The sequence below is a fragment of the Homo sapiens genome, chromosome 11 (genome assembly GCF_000001405.40).
Source record: "Homo sapiens chromosome 11, GRCh38.p14 Primary Assembly".
Lineage (NCBI taxonomy): Eukaryota > Metazoa > Chordata > Mammalia > Primates > Hominidae > Homo > Homo sapiens.
This window is the reverse complement of record NC_000011.10, coordinates 8,579,467-8,595,456: the sequence shown is the minus strand read 5'-3', so window position 1 is coordinate 8,595,456 and position 15,990 is coordinate 8,579,467. Positions and strand designations below refer to the sequence as shown.

The 15,990-nt window shown below is 40.5% G+C and overlaps 1 protein-coding gene across 51 annotated transcripts in view, besides 1 other annotated feature; it reads left to right on the top strand.

The window, feature by feature from the left end:
* The first annotated feature begins 1,228 nt into the window (after positions 1-1,228).
* The window catches only part of STK33 (serine/threonine kinase 33), a 259,405-nt gene continuing 244,643 nt past the window's right edge, over positions 1,229-15,990 (top strand). For 34 of the 51 annotated variants that reach the window (NM_001289059.2, XM_047427463.1, NM_001352399.2 and 31 more), the window contains exon 1: positions 1,229-1,374. The gene's annotated coding sequence lies outside the window, so the exon portion shown is untranslated. Of the gene's footprint in view, positions 1,375-1,480; positions 1,714-15,990 lie in introns of those variants that run through there. The other 17 variants (XR_007062494.1, XM_011520297.3, NM_001289061.2 and 14 more) reach the window with 1 other exon arrangement.
* Positions 1,407-1,666: a silencer, noted in NCBI's record as "silent region_3114". NCBI's record gives its function as "represses an Ori minimal core promoter by ATAC-STARR-seq in GM12878 lymphoblastoid cells {active_cell/tissue: GM12878}" and the evidence as "EXISTENCE:reporter gene assay evidence [ECO:0000049][PMID:35858748]".

Genomic DNA, 15,990 nt, shown 5'->3' with positions numbered 1-15,990 from the left:
GTGCTAAACATGACTTGGTTCATGCAATGTTGCCAACGGTGAAGACAAAATGGTACAAACATACAGTTTTTTGGTGGTCTGGTTTAATCCAGGGCAAAACGCAGTCCAGTGGTTGCTTTTGTTTTTAGAGGCAGGGCTGGCTATGTCGCCCAGGCTGGAACCTGTGAATATGTTACCTTATATGCAAAGGGCACTTTACAGATGTGATTAAGGACCTTAAGATGCGGGAGATTATCCTAGGAGATCTTTTTTAATCTCCTAGAGCCTGGTACCTAGTAGGACGTCATTATATGGTAGGTTTCTTGCAGCCCTTTGGTGGCCAGGTAGTTTTTAATTTTGTAGAGATGGGGGCCTCCCAGTGTTACCCAGGCTGGTCTTGAACTTCTGGGTTCTAGCAATCCTCCTGCCTTGGCCTCCCAAAGTGCTGAGATTATCGGTGTGAGCCACTGCGCCCGGCCTAGTCCAGTGGTTTGAAGTTTGAAGTTACCAGTCACCCATTATGACCATTTTGAGTTTTTTGATGAAAAGGACTGGATGAACTAGTTGCCAAATGTAGCCTCCCCCGAAGCAATACAATGAATCCACCTGCCGTATCAAGTTACTGGCTATCAATCAGCTAATTTTAGAGAACATCTGCCTCAAATAATTAGGCTAGTATTAGGAGAGTTGAATTTCTTCCCCACACTGCTAGAGAGTAGGACCCAGGACCACAGAAGCCATTCTTAGTTCAGGCCAGTAAATACATTAGCATACAGCTGGACCCTCTGTTGCATGGGGCAGGCATTCAGATGGTTCTCATAGGTTTGTAGCTAAAACATATCCCTGAGAATCGTCATTTGATCTGTCAGGAGTCTTCTCAGCCCCTGCGTGGGGACAAACACCCTCCCCCCAGCATTTTCCCGTCTTTTTAGGCCAGCTCCCCACTCACTGCAGTTCAAGGCTTGCAGCCCTTGCTCCAACTGGCTGGGGCTTGATGGGCTTGACTCCGAGTGAGAAGAGTGGCCTGAGCATCAATCACCTCAGTACTGTGATATTCCTGCTACAAAGCTTTATTTTACGTAACACGTGGCTGCTCCTCTGTGCCCCAGACGGGGTTTTAGGTCCTTCTCTAAGGCGAGCTGCCCTTGGGCGCGCCTGGGGCTGCACCTGGGTCACGTGGGCGCCGTTGTGCAGCCGGCACCTCCCGGCCAACCCCGCGGCTTGGAGAAGGGGCTTTGCACCCGCCGCCGCTGTTTGTCCTCGCGCGGCCCCCGTCCACTGCCCTGCGGTTGCTCTGCGGGCTGAAAAGTTTCTCCCGGTGCAGAATTCCGGGCTCAGCGACAGCCTGCGCCGAGTGTGCGCACCTGTCGGAGACCCGCCAGTCCGCCGGCCGCGGTGAGTGGTCCCTGGAGTCACTGGCTCAGGGCGGGCCCGCGGGATGGGGCGGGCGGCCCGGGGCGCAGCCGGCCAGGCCGTTGCTATGGCAACGCGGTGGAAAAACGGGCCTCTGGGTATCTCGCTGCCGGCCGGCTGGTAACCCCCCAGCGGAGGGACCGGGCCGAGCCCGCGGACCCCTCCGAGTGTCTCCTGGGGCCCAGCCGTTGGTACCCCATTTCCCCCGGGTCCGGTATTTGGGGTGGTCTCTGTCTGCCCCGGTTCATCTCCACCGTCTCACCTTCACCCCATCTTGGGACGTGAAACTTTTTGAAAGTTTAGAAGCGAACTTACTGTGGGGTAAGTGTGTGGGAAACATCCTTAGAAGTTCTGAAGTTGTGTTTCTTTTTTTTAAACTGCTAGAGCCTGGTACCTAGTGGGACCCCATTATATGGTAGGTTTCCTGTTGCCCTTAAGATAGTCTCTTGCACCTAGAGGCTGCACATAGGAGGTGAAAGGATGACATAAAGCAGCCCCGTACTGGCTCTGTGGACAGGTAATTTAAGAACTCTCCCTCAGCTTCCTAAATGTAGATTATAATTTCTCACAAGGTCGTGGGTTTCAGTGAACCTATATGTGAAGCTGTTTTGTGAACAGTACATGTGAAAAGCACTTGAGCGTTAGTAAGGGATATTTGCATGCTAAGAGTGGTCTGGTGCTCCCCGTCCCATATCACCAGCTAAGAAGGACCTTCTTTTTTGCCTGACCACCAAATGACTCCAATATCCAACCAGAAAATAGGATAGTCCTGCCTTGAAAGAGGGCTCTGTGAATGGAAAGGAACATCAACAAGTTTTGAACCCAAACTCTTTCCTTGTTCTCCAGGCCCGTGCCTTTAGACAGTGATGGATATGCAGATATATCGCGCATTTAAATTTTTAGCTCGTGTAAATCTCTGTTGCTATCTCAATGGGTCATACCAACCTCTAGTTTGCAAATCAGAAATCTTGGCCTCATCCTTGACACCTCGCACTTTCTTCCTTTCCATATCCAAACAATCATCAAGTTCTATTCATTTTATCTTCAAACCAAATCTCAAATCCATTTGAGTATCTCTGTCTCTGCTACTATTACCCTAGACCAATCTACCATGATCTGTTGTCCAGTAGTAGCCTCTTAACTAATCTAAAGGTATTTATCCTTTCCTTTCAATATTCCCATCCATTCTTTGCCCTGCAGCAGGAGTAGTATTTTCACAACTAAAATTTGATTATGCTACCCCCCAACCTCCTCTAGCTCAAAATCCATCATGGCTTCTCATTATTCTTAGAATAAAGACAAAACTCTTAATGTGGCCAAAAAGTTGGGTGACCATGTACATGACCATCCAGACCAAGATATTTTTGAGAGTTCGAGGCTGCAGTGAACTTGCCACTGCATTCCAGCCTGGGCAATGGAGTGAGACCCTGTCTCAAAAAAAAATAAAAAAACAGTTCCCAAAAATGAAATTATAGGGAGGTCAAAGGGCAGGAACATTGTGAATGCTCTCAAAACATCGAAACATTGCCATACTGTTTTTCAGAAAGATTATGCCAATTTACATTGCCACCGTCAGTTTTATGACACCCATATTAGCATTATTATTTTAAAAACTTTGCTAATTTCACAGATAAAAATGGCACCTCCTTATTTTAACTCACATCTGTCATTATTAATATGTTTTAAGTGAAATCTTATTGTTAGCTATTAGCAAAAGCTTTTTGATGGTTTTTGTATTGGAGTCTTAGTTTTTTCTTACCAGTTGTTTAATTGTTTGATTTTTATCTTCCCCAGCCCAGGCAGGAACCACTATGCTGGGCTTTGGCTGGAATTAGTTGAATAAGTTATCCCTGGAGCCTGGGGCGAGTTGTTACTTCCCTGCAGGCTACAGGGCAAGGCAGAAAACTGTTTCATAGTCTGTTTCCTGGGGCAAAAACTGGAATCAAGACTGGGCTGATTGCTTGTTTTTCTGAACTTTGAGTCAAACAGGGCTTGGAAGAAAGAGAGCATCCAGGTAGGAGGCAAAGACCAAGACAGACAAGGAAAGGCAGAGTAATTTTTTTTTTAATTTTATTATTATTATACTTTAAGTTTTAGGGTACATGTGCACAACATGCAGGTTAGTTCCATATGTATACATGTGCCATGTTGGTGTGCTGCACCCATTAACTCGTCATTTAGCATTAGGTATATCTCCTAATGCTATCCCTCCCCACTCCCCCCCACCCCACAACAGTCCCTGGTGTGTGATGTTTCCCTTCCTGTGTCCATGTGTTCTCATTCTTCAATTCCCACCTATGAGTGAGAATATGCAGTGTTTGGTTTTTTGTCCTTGCGATAGTTTGCGGAGAATGATGGTTTCCAGTTTCATCCATGTCCCTACAAAGGTAATTTTCAAAGCTGGAGGAGAGAAGCTGCAACCTCTTTTTTTGCAGAGACATTGCGGTTTCCTGTATGGAGGATGAGGGAATGCTGGGGGCACTGTCTTGGCCATACAGTGAACCATGTGAACTCTTGTTATAGTGAGAGTATTAACCCTTCGTCATTTGGGGCATCTTCCCCACAATTGCCCTTTCATTTATGATGGCTTATGATTTATAGAAATTAAAACAATTTTATGTTGTCTGCTTGTTAATCTTTTCCTTTATGATCCATTGCTTTTACGCTTAGAAAGTCCTTCCCATGAAGAGACCAGCTACCTATCTGCATTTTCTTTAAAAATGTTATTTTGTAATATTAGCAAATCAAGAGGTAAAGAAAATAAGTACAAGAAAGCTGAGTAGTGTGATGTCCAATAAAAAATCTAAAAGAGGATGATACAAAGGTGGGTACTCGTGTCTTCTTCATGTGTCCTTGAATCAAGGAGCAGAAAAGAGCTTATACTGCTGTAAGGGAGATTTAGGAAGGCTGTCTCTGACAGTTGTTTGAACTGATGGCTGTTTCAACCATTGACTTATCTGTCACACGTTGTAGAAGCTTATCCTTAGAGACTTACAGAAGAAGTATCCTTCTGAAAGAGAAGATGTGTTCTCTGGAGCTATTTTCTACTTTTATTCATCTGATGATACTATGTAGTACTTCAAACACCTATAGTTGTTAAATACTGAGAAATAACTTCCCTGTTTTTAAAAAGAGACTTACAAAATGGAAAATGCAATATAAAATTAATTGCTGACTTTTTTGGCATTGTTAAATTGGTATGCCTTAAGATGCGATTCAGAAAGAATTTCCTTTCCTGCTGAACTCCAGTATATATGAGTGAGGCTAACTGTGTTTTGTTTGGATTTATCTTAGAGCTCTAGAATGTGAAGAATGGGCATCTTATTTTTAAGCTTTAATATATATTTTCTTAGTTTATTAACTAAAATAAATTGTAAGTGCATAAGAAATTACTAACCTCACAAATCCCACAGTTTTATTGACTTGAAGTTGTTTTATTTTAAAAAGTTTACAAGGTGAGGGGCAGTAATTTTAATAATTAGAATGTCCTTTCTACATATATGGACTAATTATCTTTCTTAACCATTGACTTGTCAGTGAAGTTCAGTAAGGATGTGGTTTACATTAGAAATAAATTAAGAAAAAACAATTTTCTATTGATAAAGATAAGTTCACTTAGGAATACTATTATCCTTATTTTTGATAAAGTTATTTAGTAAACAATATTGACTATTATAAACATTCATTCAATAAATATTTATGGGGTGCTGATCATATGCCAGGCACAGTTCTAGAATATTGTATTATATGTTTACTTTTATAGTGTATGTGTAAAAAGTTTGCTTGTGATTCAGTATTCTTAACATGAGCTGATGATTATTTGGAAAAACTGGCCATTTGGACTCACACATATTAATTCAGAGACTCATAAAAAAGCCTTACGTAAAATGTTAATGCAGTCTCCAAGGTTGAGATGTTGGTTATTGAAAGTTCTACTCTGTTACTTTGTCATTATCATGGTGGAATGCTTGTCTACCACAGAGCTCACTGGGAGAAAATCCATTTACCATTTACCAAAGGCAGTGCATCTGAGGCTCAGGTTCTTAGACTTGAATTCTTTCAAGTTTGTTTGCTGCTAGCAAATCTAACATCGAGGCTCTTATCTTTGCTCTAAGGAGCTCAGCTTCCAAACAGCTGAAATATTGGGAAGAAAGCAAATATTTATCCTTGGATATTTTTCATGGAAATCCAATTAATTTTTCTCTCAATCTTCTTTATTTTGGTTTTCAGTTTATGGCAATAAAATTCAATATTTTTCATATTTGTTATTATAAAAGTAAACACCAATATCCAGCAGTGATTTTCAAGTTAACTTCTTTATTGCTTTTCTGTCATATCTCTTTGATGGTACATATAATATGTAAACTTGGCTCCTTTTTATAGTTGCACCTCACTTTTTTTATTGAGATATAATTTACATACCATAAAATTCACCCTTTTAAAGTGCACACTAGTTAAATAGTAGTGACACTAGCAATCATAACTACTATTTAATTCCAGAACATTTTTATCACCCTCAGGAAGAATCCTCACATCCAATAGCAGTCATGCCTTGTTCTCCCTTTCCCTGAGCCCCTGGCAAACATCAGTCTTTATCTGTAGATTTGCCTGTTATGGAAATTTTATATAAATGGAATTATACAATATGTGGCCTTTTGCATCTGACTTCTTTCCCTTAGCATGATGTTTTCAAAGTTCATTTCTGTTGTAGTATGTATCAGTACTTTATTCCTTTTTATGACCAAATAGAATTCCATTGTATGGTACATTTTGTGTATCCATTCATCAGTTGATGACCATTTGGGTTATTTTCTTTTTTTTTGGTATTTTGAATAATGCTGCTATGAATATTCATGTACAAGTTTTTGTGTGAACATATATTATCAGTTCTTCTGGGTTCTCTAGGAGTGGAATTGCTGATCGTATGGTAACTCTGTGTTTAACTTTTTGAGGAACTGTCAAATTGTTTTCCAAAGTGGCTGTACCATTTTGCATTCCCAACGGCAATGTATGAGCATTCTCATTTCTCCATAGCTTCACTAGAACTTGTTACTGTCTTTTTGAGTATAGCCATCCTAGTATGTGTGAAGTGGTATCTCATTATGGTTTTGATTTACATTTTCCTGATAACTAATGGTGTTAGGATCTTTTCATGTGTTAATATGAAGATATGCAATTTGTATATCTTCTTTGGAGAAATACCTATTCAAATATTTTGTCTGTTTTTAATTTGGGTTGTCTTTTTCTTGTTCAGTTGTAAGAGTTCTTTATGTAGTCCGGATATTAGACTATTCTCAGATATTTGATTTGCAAATATTTTCTTCCATTTTGTAGATTGTCTTTTTACCTCCTTGGTAGTGTTCCTTGAAGCACAAAAATTTTTAATTTTATGAAGTTCAATATATTTTTTATTTGGTTTAGGTGCCATATCTAAAATACATTATTGCCTAATACAAGGTCATAAAGATTTACCACTATGTTTTCTTCTAAAAGTTCTGTAATTTTAGCTCTTATATTTAGATTTTGGATCCATTTTGAGTTAAGTTTTGTTTATGATTTGAAGTAGATGTCCAGATTCATTCTTTTATGTGTAGCTATTCAGTTGTCCTGACTGTTTGTTGTACACTTCATTTCACTTGTTAAAGTCAACTCGTCAGGCATGTTTTGGGGAGACAAAATTTGGCTGATTCCTTGTCACTCCAGTTACATGCCACCATCCTACACAGAGGACATTCCAGGCAAAGGAACATTCCATATTGCTAACAGGACTTTGGCTCCAAATTTCCATCTAGGGATATAATTTGGTGCATTAGTGCTATGGATTGAATGTTTGTGTCCCCTCAGAATTCATATGTTGAGGTCTAAATCCCCAGTGTGCTGGTATTTTGGGCCATTTGAAAGATAATTAGGTCATGAGGGTGGAGCCCTCATGAATGCTGTTAGTGACCTTATAAGGGAATGGAAAGATGAGAGTGCTCTCTGTTCTCTACCATGAGAGGACAGAGCAGGAAGATGGCCATCTGCAAACTAGGAAGAGTACCCCCACCAAGCATCAGATCTGCTGGTGTCCTGGTCTTGGACTTCTCAGCCTCCAGAACTGTGAGAAATAAATGTTTGTTGTTTAAGCCACCCAGTCTATGGTATTCTGTTAGAGCAGCCTGAACTAAGATAATTGGCCTGTTGAGGATGTAAGCTTCAAGGCTGCTTCCCTGTCTAATCTCACTTAAGGCCTCTAAGTAGACCCATATGGGTGCCCCTTTGCCATCTTTTTTTCAGGATTGTAACCTGATTCCCGCTTGACCCCTTGGGGAAAGGGAAGAGCAAAGGAAGGATTGCCCTTTCCCAAGAAGAGGCCTTAAGATTTTCCCTACAGCCTCATGGGAGAAACAGGAAGGGCCATGTGAACCTTTCCACAAAGAAAAGATGATGATCTTCAAGGGAAGAAAGAACTTTTCATCTTTTTTTTTTTTTTTTTTTACCTTCCATTGAAAACTCCTCCCTCTGGAATTGTGATCCAGTTGAGCCGTGGCTTGTTCAGAACTCCTTTTCTTGGAGTGGAATGATAGGGAGGTGTGCCTCGTGTTCTTTCCAGAGGTTCAAGCGTGCAGTGTGGAAAAGCTTAGGATTGGTGAGCTCAGGCTCACCTGGGTTCAAATTTTGGTCCTGCATTTCTAGCTTTGGTTCCTTTTTCTATAAAATGGGGCTTATAATTACAATTTCCCAGAATTCTGAAAAGCAAATATCATAGGTAAAGTGCCTAACAAATATGTAGCCCTTCAATAAATACTAGTTTCCCATCCCATTGAAAAATGTTTTCAAATTTTCTAATAAATTTGTATAAATGCAATTAAAAAAACTCCATAGAGTCTTAGAGTTTGAAGGGAGCTTCATACTTGATGTCATAAATAATACTTTGCTGAATCTGTTATAGCTCTTTTCATGTTTGTTCGCTTAATTTATTGTTTTTGTTGATCACCTACTGTGCATCAGACACCATTCTGTCTGTCACAAATCACTGAGGGAGAGATGCCAGATACACATGACACACAGCCTGGCATGCAGTTGCCACTGCACTCATCCTCACTTCCCTAATTTGAGTCATTCACTTACTAAATTATGAGCCAGATACTATGCTAGGTTTTTGGGATACAAAGATAAAAAGATACACTCCATGTCGAGCTCATAATCTGTTGTGGAGGGAAACAAGCTAATAATTTTTTTTTTTTTTTTTTTTTTTTTTTTAGACAGAGTCTTGCTCTGTCACCCAGGCTGGAGTGCAGTGGTGTGATCTTGGCTCACTGCAACCTCCACCTCCCGGATTCAAGTGATTCTGCTGCCTCAGCCTCCCGAGTTACTGGGATTACAAGTGCCTGCCAACATGCCCAGCTAATTTTTGTAGTTTTAGTACAGACGGGGTTTCACCATGTTGGCCAGGCTGGTCTGAAACTCCTGACCTCAAGTGATCCACCCATCTTGGCCTCCCAAAGTGCTGGGATTACAGGTGTGAGCCACTGTGTCCAGCCCAAGCCAATAAATTATAATCCCCTGAGGCAGGTGCTATAACAGACACATTGGTTGGTGTGAAGGGAGATGGAGGAGAGCACTTCTGTGTCTGCTTGGGGGAAGTCAGGGAGGGATGAGCAAAAGGGAAGAGGAAGCTGAGGCAGAAGGAGCAGCAGACTCAAAGGCCTAGAGGTGGAAAAGCATGTAAGTCTTAGAGGAAGTTGAGATCTAGAAGAATAATGGCAGACAATGACTGGACAGGCTAGCATGCCATTTTACAGAGACCCTGTTATGCCAGGTTGGGTTGGGATTTGAAGTCAGGTGTTTTTTTTTTTTTTTTTTTCCGAGATAGGATCTGGCTCTCTTGACCAGGCTAGAGTGGAGTGGCACGATCTTGGCTCACTGTAGCCTTTGCCACCTGGGCTCAAGCCATCCTCCCATCTCAGCCTCCTGAGTAGCTGGGAGCACAAGCATGCACTGCCACACCTGGCTAAATTTTTTGTTTTTTGAGATGGAGTTTTGCTCTTGTTGCCCAGGCTGGAGTACAGTGGCGCAATCTTGGTTCACTGCAAACTCCACCTCCCAGGTTCAAGCGATTCTCCTGTCTCAGCCTCCCAAGTAGCTGGGATGATAGGTGTGTGCCACCACACCTGGCTAATTTTGTATTTTTAGTAGGACGAGGTTTTACCATGTTGGTCAGGCTGGTCTCGAACTCCTGACCTCAAGTGATCTGCCCGCCTTGGCCTCCCAAAGTGCTGGGATTACAGGTGTGAGCCACTGCACCTGGTGCTAATTTTTAATTTTTGTATTTTTTGTAGAGACAGGGTTTTTGCCATGTTGCTGAGGCTGGTCTTGAACTCCTGGGCTCAAGCAATCTGCCTGCCTCAGCCTCCCAAAGTGCTTGGAATACAGGCGTGAGCCACCAAGCCCTGCCTGAGGTCCATTTTGTTGGATAAGACAGAAACACAATTTGTAGTTAATTAACATCTGTCTTGGACTTGCTCTTCTTCTAACGCTAGCTTAAAAAAATCATTTTTGGCTGGGCGCGGTGGCTCATGCCTGTAATCCCAGCACTTTGGGAGGCTGAGGCGGGTGGATCACCTGAAGTCAGGAGTTCGAGACCAGCCTGGCCAACATGGGGAAACTGCATCTCTACTAAAAATACAAAAATTAGCCGGGTGTAGTAGTGGGCGCCTGTAGTCCCAGCTACTCAGGAGGTTGAGGCAGGAGAATTGCTTGAACCTGGGAGGCAGAGGTTGTAGTGAGCCGAGATTGCGCCACTGCACTCCAGCCTGGGTGACAGAGTGAGACTCCGTCTCAAAAAAAAAAAAAAAAAAAATGCTGGGTGCAGTGGCTCACACCTGTAATCCCAGCATTTTGGAAGGCCACGGCAGGTGGATCACCTGAAGTCAGGAGTTTGAGACCAGCCTGGCCAACATGGTGAAACCTCGTCCCTAATAAAAATACAAAAATTGGCAGAGCTTGGTGGTGCATGCGTGTAATCCCAGCTCTTTGGGAGGCTGAGGCAGGAGAATTACTTGAACCCAGGAGGCGGGGGTTGCAGTCAGCTGAGATCGCACCACTGCACTCCAGCCTGGGGGACAGTGATACTCCATCTCAAAAAAAAAAAAAAAAATCATTTTCTTTGTCTTTTGTCTGTAGCATTTTCTCTAAGAATCTGCTATTTTGGGATTTTGCCTTCCTCATTGTCTTCATATAGCATCCTGTCTAGATTAACTGCCTGTTTACCTTAGGGTTATGACCTTTCACTTCATGGAGAGCTCCCTCTGTGGCTGTATGCTTTGTCTGAAAGGGTCTATCTCCTGTTTGCCCTGGCACTTGGTAACAGAAAAGACCTTTCCTATTGGATGGCTGAGACCTAGTAGAGAGAGAGCTGTTGGAGAAGGGCCAGGCATAAGGAGGAAGGCGCCTAAACCAGAGGTTTATCCTCTGGTGTTGCTGACGTTGGCATTATCATAGTCTTGCTCTGATCATTGCCCATAGTCTCTCACTGATTGGCTTGCTCCAAGGCTGTGTCTCTCAGGCCTCTCTTGCCCTGCCTTATTTGTGTTATTAATAACTGAAAGTTGAGGAGTGGCCCAGCAGCTCAGGAGTTCTAGTCTTGTTGAGCAGCCATCCTTAATGTATCCAGTTAACAGTATTCATTCTCTCAAGACACAGTCCAGGCTGGCACTTCAGACATGAAGGAATATGTATGAAGTTCCAGAGGTCACTTATGTAGGACTTTGTTCTGGAATCCTCCCTACATTATGAATCATTGAAGGACCCGGCCTTGAAAGAAGATTGGTTAGAGGTGGGAAGGGAGGGTATGATAGCTATTTGCAAGTATTTGGAGAGTTGTTCCAAGTATAGCAAAGTCCCAGATTTTGGTCTTAGGTTCTGGCCCTACCATTTACTAGCTTTGTTTTCTTTCTTTTTTTTTTTTTTTTTCATCTAAATTCCTTTCAGCCTAAAATCATTCTGCGATTCAATAAATGTAACAGGCAGTGACTGTACTGATTAGATCTGGATCCTTGAGGCAGATTGAGTGGCAGCATTTTAGCTTTTTGAGCTCAGCCACTAGTGAATTGAAATTGTAATAGCTGTATTCGTTATACTCAGAATTGAATGTTATTAATAAGCCATTCCTTAGTCCCATATTATCTCTGTTTTACAGACTAATTTTTTTCAATAGGATTTCCTTAATTGTCTCAAATGTTTCATTCTTAGAATACTTAAAATGTCTGATTGCTGTAATCTCCAGGGAAACTAAACAGTCTTAATTACATCTAGTGTTTTTTATTTTATTTGATTCTTTAGATGAGATTAAAAGTAACTTATTTCAGAGGATATGATTATTCTCTATATAACTATGCTTATTGTAAATTTAGAAAGTTTTGGTCATATTACACCCACATTATCATTATTTCAGATAATTTAGGCTGTGGACTAGCATATAGGGGGGTTAACTTCTTTCAGAATGAATAACTTGATGACACTATTTTTTACCACCCTCCCCGTATCTTTCTTATCATTGTCTTTGATAGCATTGATTTATATTTTCTGTTCATCTAGTCATTTCCATAGTACATGTCAAGACTTGCTCCCTATGAAGCAGAGGGTTCTTGAGTTTGATCCTTTCCTACATATCTGCTTTCTCATGAGTAATGTTATCAATAATTTGTGGAATTTTACTTTTAGTACTAGATGCCATTTTTTTTTAGTAGAAATATTGGCAAATTGGATTTCACCCAGAAGGTGAAGGGACTGGGATAGTGAAGACCTTTAAATGATATGAAGGACAGGTGAGTGTGTTGGGGTTGTAGAAAAGACAACCTCTAGGAGGTATGACCAAGGGGACACATGATCATTTTCTTCATATCTGAAAGGCAGAAACCTGTTAAAGAAGGACTAGACGTATCTGTAAGAATGACATAATTACGTATGACCTGTAAGAAGTTTTATAAGGAGATAATTTTGGCTCATTATGAGGAAAAACATTCTGGTGGTGTCCAATGAAATAAGCTTCTTGAGGAAATTAAGGAATGGGTTCCCAGTCATTGGAAAACTTTAAACAATGTCCATGTCAGTATCCATCAGATCTTCTATGAAAGAAATTTCATGCTGTGCCAGATGTCCTCAGATATTCTTTGTAATTTCTAGATTCTGTGGTTGCTTCTCCACTACTGATGCTATGTTGTGGCCACTTCTCCACTGTAGGGTTTGCTTTGGTGACTTATCTCATTGGTTTTATGTTTCTGAACATACCATAGCCCAGAAGGCTGTGATATGGATGAAAATTTTAAAAGATAATTAAGAGGATATATACCATGTACATATATACTTATACACATACATACTTGATATGATTAGGCTTTGTGTCCCCACCCAAATCTCATATTGAATTGTAATTCCCATAATCCCCATAATCCCCACGTATCAAGGGAGAGACCAGGTGGAGGTAATTGAATCATGGTGACAGTTTCCCTGATGCTGTTCTCGTGAGACTGAGTGAATTCTCATGAGATCTGATGGTTTCATAAGTGGCTCTTCCCCTCTTCCTGCTGCCTTGTGAAGAAAGTGTCTGCTTCCCCTTTGCCTTCTGCCATGATTGTAAGTTTCCTGAGGCCTCCCAAGCCATGCTGAACTGTGAGTCAATTAAACCCCTTTCCTTTATAAATTACCCAGTCTTGGGCAGTTCTTTATAGCCGTATGAAAACAGACTAATACAATACCTATTTGTTTTGTATAATTGAGAATTACACTTTTTAGTTTTGTCCTTAGTTCCTGTTGTTAAAAAATATCAAGCTATATGCTGTAGAGATCTCTGAGTATCATAAGAAAATGTTTTTTTGTTTATCAAATTGATTTTTTTAAAAATACAGCTCTGTTAAGTCTTCAAAATAGAGCCAACAAAGAGCTTTTATGGAAGTAGGAATTAAAATTGGTGGTTTTATTGTGAGAGTATTTGAGAAAGACCTATAAATAAAATAGTATGGACATTCAATTAGTGTCTTAGATATTTAAGAATAGGAAGTGGGAGCACTATAGTCATTTTGGAAAATTGTGTTTTCAGACTCACTTAATAACTGGATTGTTGAGTGCTGTATTAGTGGTTTCAAATGGCATTACAATTCATTGCAGTTCTGACCTGGGGTAATAGATGTAGAGGTAAAATGAAATCCATCTTCCTGAAGAAGTACTAGTTATATGAAATGATTAAATCTGATTTTAAAATAAAGCATTAAATGCAAACCGCTAAGAGTTCAAAAAATACACGTTCCGTGAAAGAAGATTTAGTGCATTTAGCTTTTGCTCATTGTGGATGAAATGCCTTTAAACTGATGCAAGTTATCCTGCCAATAAATTAATCACATAGGGGAAGTTACGTATCTTCTCTTTGAAATGGACCCATCCTTCATGGACAGAGAGTTCTCTTTCAGGACAGATTTTCTTCCAAACACTTAGAAGACTCCCTCTAAGTGTTTGGTGTCTTTTCCTAAGTCTTTTCTGGGATGAGTCTTAGCTCAGTGCAGGTTCTTTGATTTGGTATTGTGAAACCGAAAGTCATCATGCTGGAAGAATTCCCTGGTGACTCTCTCACTCAGGCTTAGCCTCGACCTTCCAGACTCAAGTGATCCTCCTGCTTCAGCCTCCTGAGTAGCTAGGACCACAGGCATGCACCACCATGCCTGGCTATTTTTTTTATATATATGGGGGTCTCACTATGTTGCCCAGGCTGATAAGTTATCTCATATGCAGAAATATACATTTCCAAACATATATACAGAAATATTATGAGATGTGAATAGGAAAATTGTACAACACTGTGTATATCGGTTTCTAAGAAAATGGGCTGAGTTAAGGCTTTCTGTGTGAGGGGGATTGGGTTAAGGTTTGGCTCAAGGTGAGGAATGTGAGTTGATGGGAAGGAAGGAAAAGGCATCCCAGGAGGAATTTAGAGGGAGGGATGAATGAAGAGGCAGATACCTTTGCTTGGCTGAGAAGTCTGAGCTTCCAAGTGGAGGGAAATGTCAGGGATAATAGGCTGAGGGGGAGATAGGGTAGATGGTGGTGATTATAATGTCTTTTTTTTACCAGACCAACTTGCTTCCAGATTGCTTACACCTGGGGAGACAATACCACCATGAAGATGACAGATAACCCACGATGAAGTGCTAAGTTGTTTGCTATGGTAGTAGCTGGAATTCAGAGGGGAGAGACTTATGGCTACCAGATCCAAGATAGGTTCTGTGAACAACGTTTTCTTTTTTTACAATTTGCAGTTTTTAATTTCTGTGGGTACATGGTAGGTATGTATATTTATAGGATACATGAGATACTTTGATATAGGCAAGCAATGCATAGTAATCACATCATGGAAAATGGGGTATCTGTGCCCTTAAACATTTATCCTTTGTGTTACAAATAATCCATTTATACTCTTTAAGTTATTTAAAAATGTACAATTAAATTATTTGACTATAGTCATCCTGTTGTGCTATCAAATACTAGGTCTTATTCATTTGTTCTATTTCTTTGTACCCATTAACCATCCCCCTCCCCCTTCCCCCTCCCTCCATTCTCCTTCCCAGCCTCTAGTAACCATCCTTTCTAAAACCATCTAAAAATCAATTTAATTGTTTTGATTTTTAGATCCCACGAATAGTGAGAACATTTGATGTTTTTCTTTCTGTGCCTGGCTCATTTCGTTTAACATAATGACCTCCAGTTCCATCCATGTTGTTGCAAATGACTGGATCTCATTCTTTTTTATGGCTGAATAGTACTCCATTGTGTATATGTACCACATTTTCTTTATCCATTTATCTATTGATGGACACTTAGGTTGCCCCCAAATCTTGGCTATTGTGAATAGTACTGCAGCAAACATGGGATTGCAAATATTTCTTCCATATACTGATTTCCTTTCTTTTGTGTATATACCCCACAGTGGGATTGCTGGATCATATGGTAGCTCTGTTTTCAGTTTTCTGAGGAACCTCCAAACTGTTCTCCATAGTGGTTGTACTAATTTACATCCCAAAAACAGTGTATGAAGGTTCCCTTTTCTCCACATCTCCTCTAGCATTTGTTATTGCCTGTCTTTTGGATAAAAGCCGTTTAAACTGGGATGAGATGATGTCTCATTGTAGTTTGATTTACATTTCTCTGATGATCAGTGATGTTGAACACCTTTTTATATACCCGTTTGCCATTTGTATGTCTTCTTTTGAGAAGTGTCTATTCAAATCTTTTGCCCATTTTAAAAATCAGATTATTAGATGTAAACGGGGTTTTAGGTTGTATAAGTAAGAGCCTTTTAGGTGAGGGAAAGTAGCATACTTGATGACTTCCTTGTAAGAATGTGAACGAAATGAGCAGTAAAATGAGAACATGTGAATGCTAGGCAGCCTTTTTTTTCTCTTGTAAAGCATGTGAGTCTTTGGCAAGTCGCTTCTCTTCTTTGGCTTTCATTTCATTTATTTATTTCATTATTTAATATAATTTAAATTCATATTTAACAGGTTGCTCTTAAATTAAAAATATTCATCTACAAGAGAGATAAAAATATATGCTCTGATTCCCTCATCA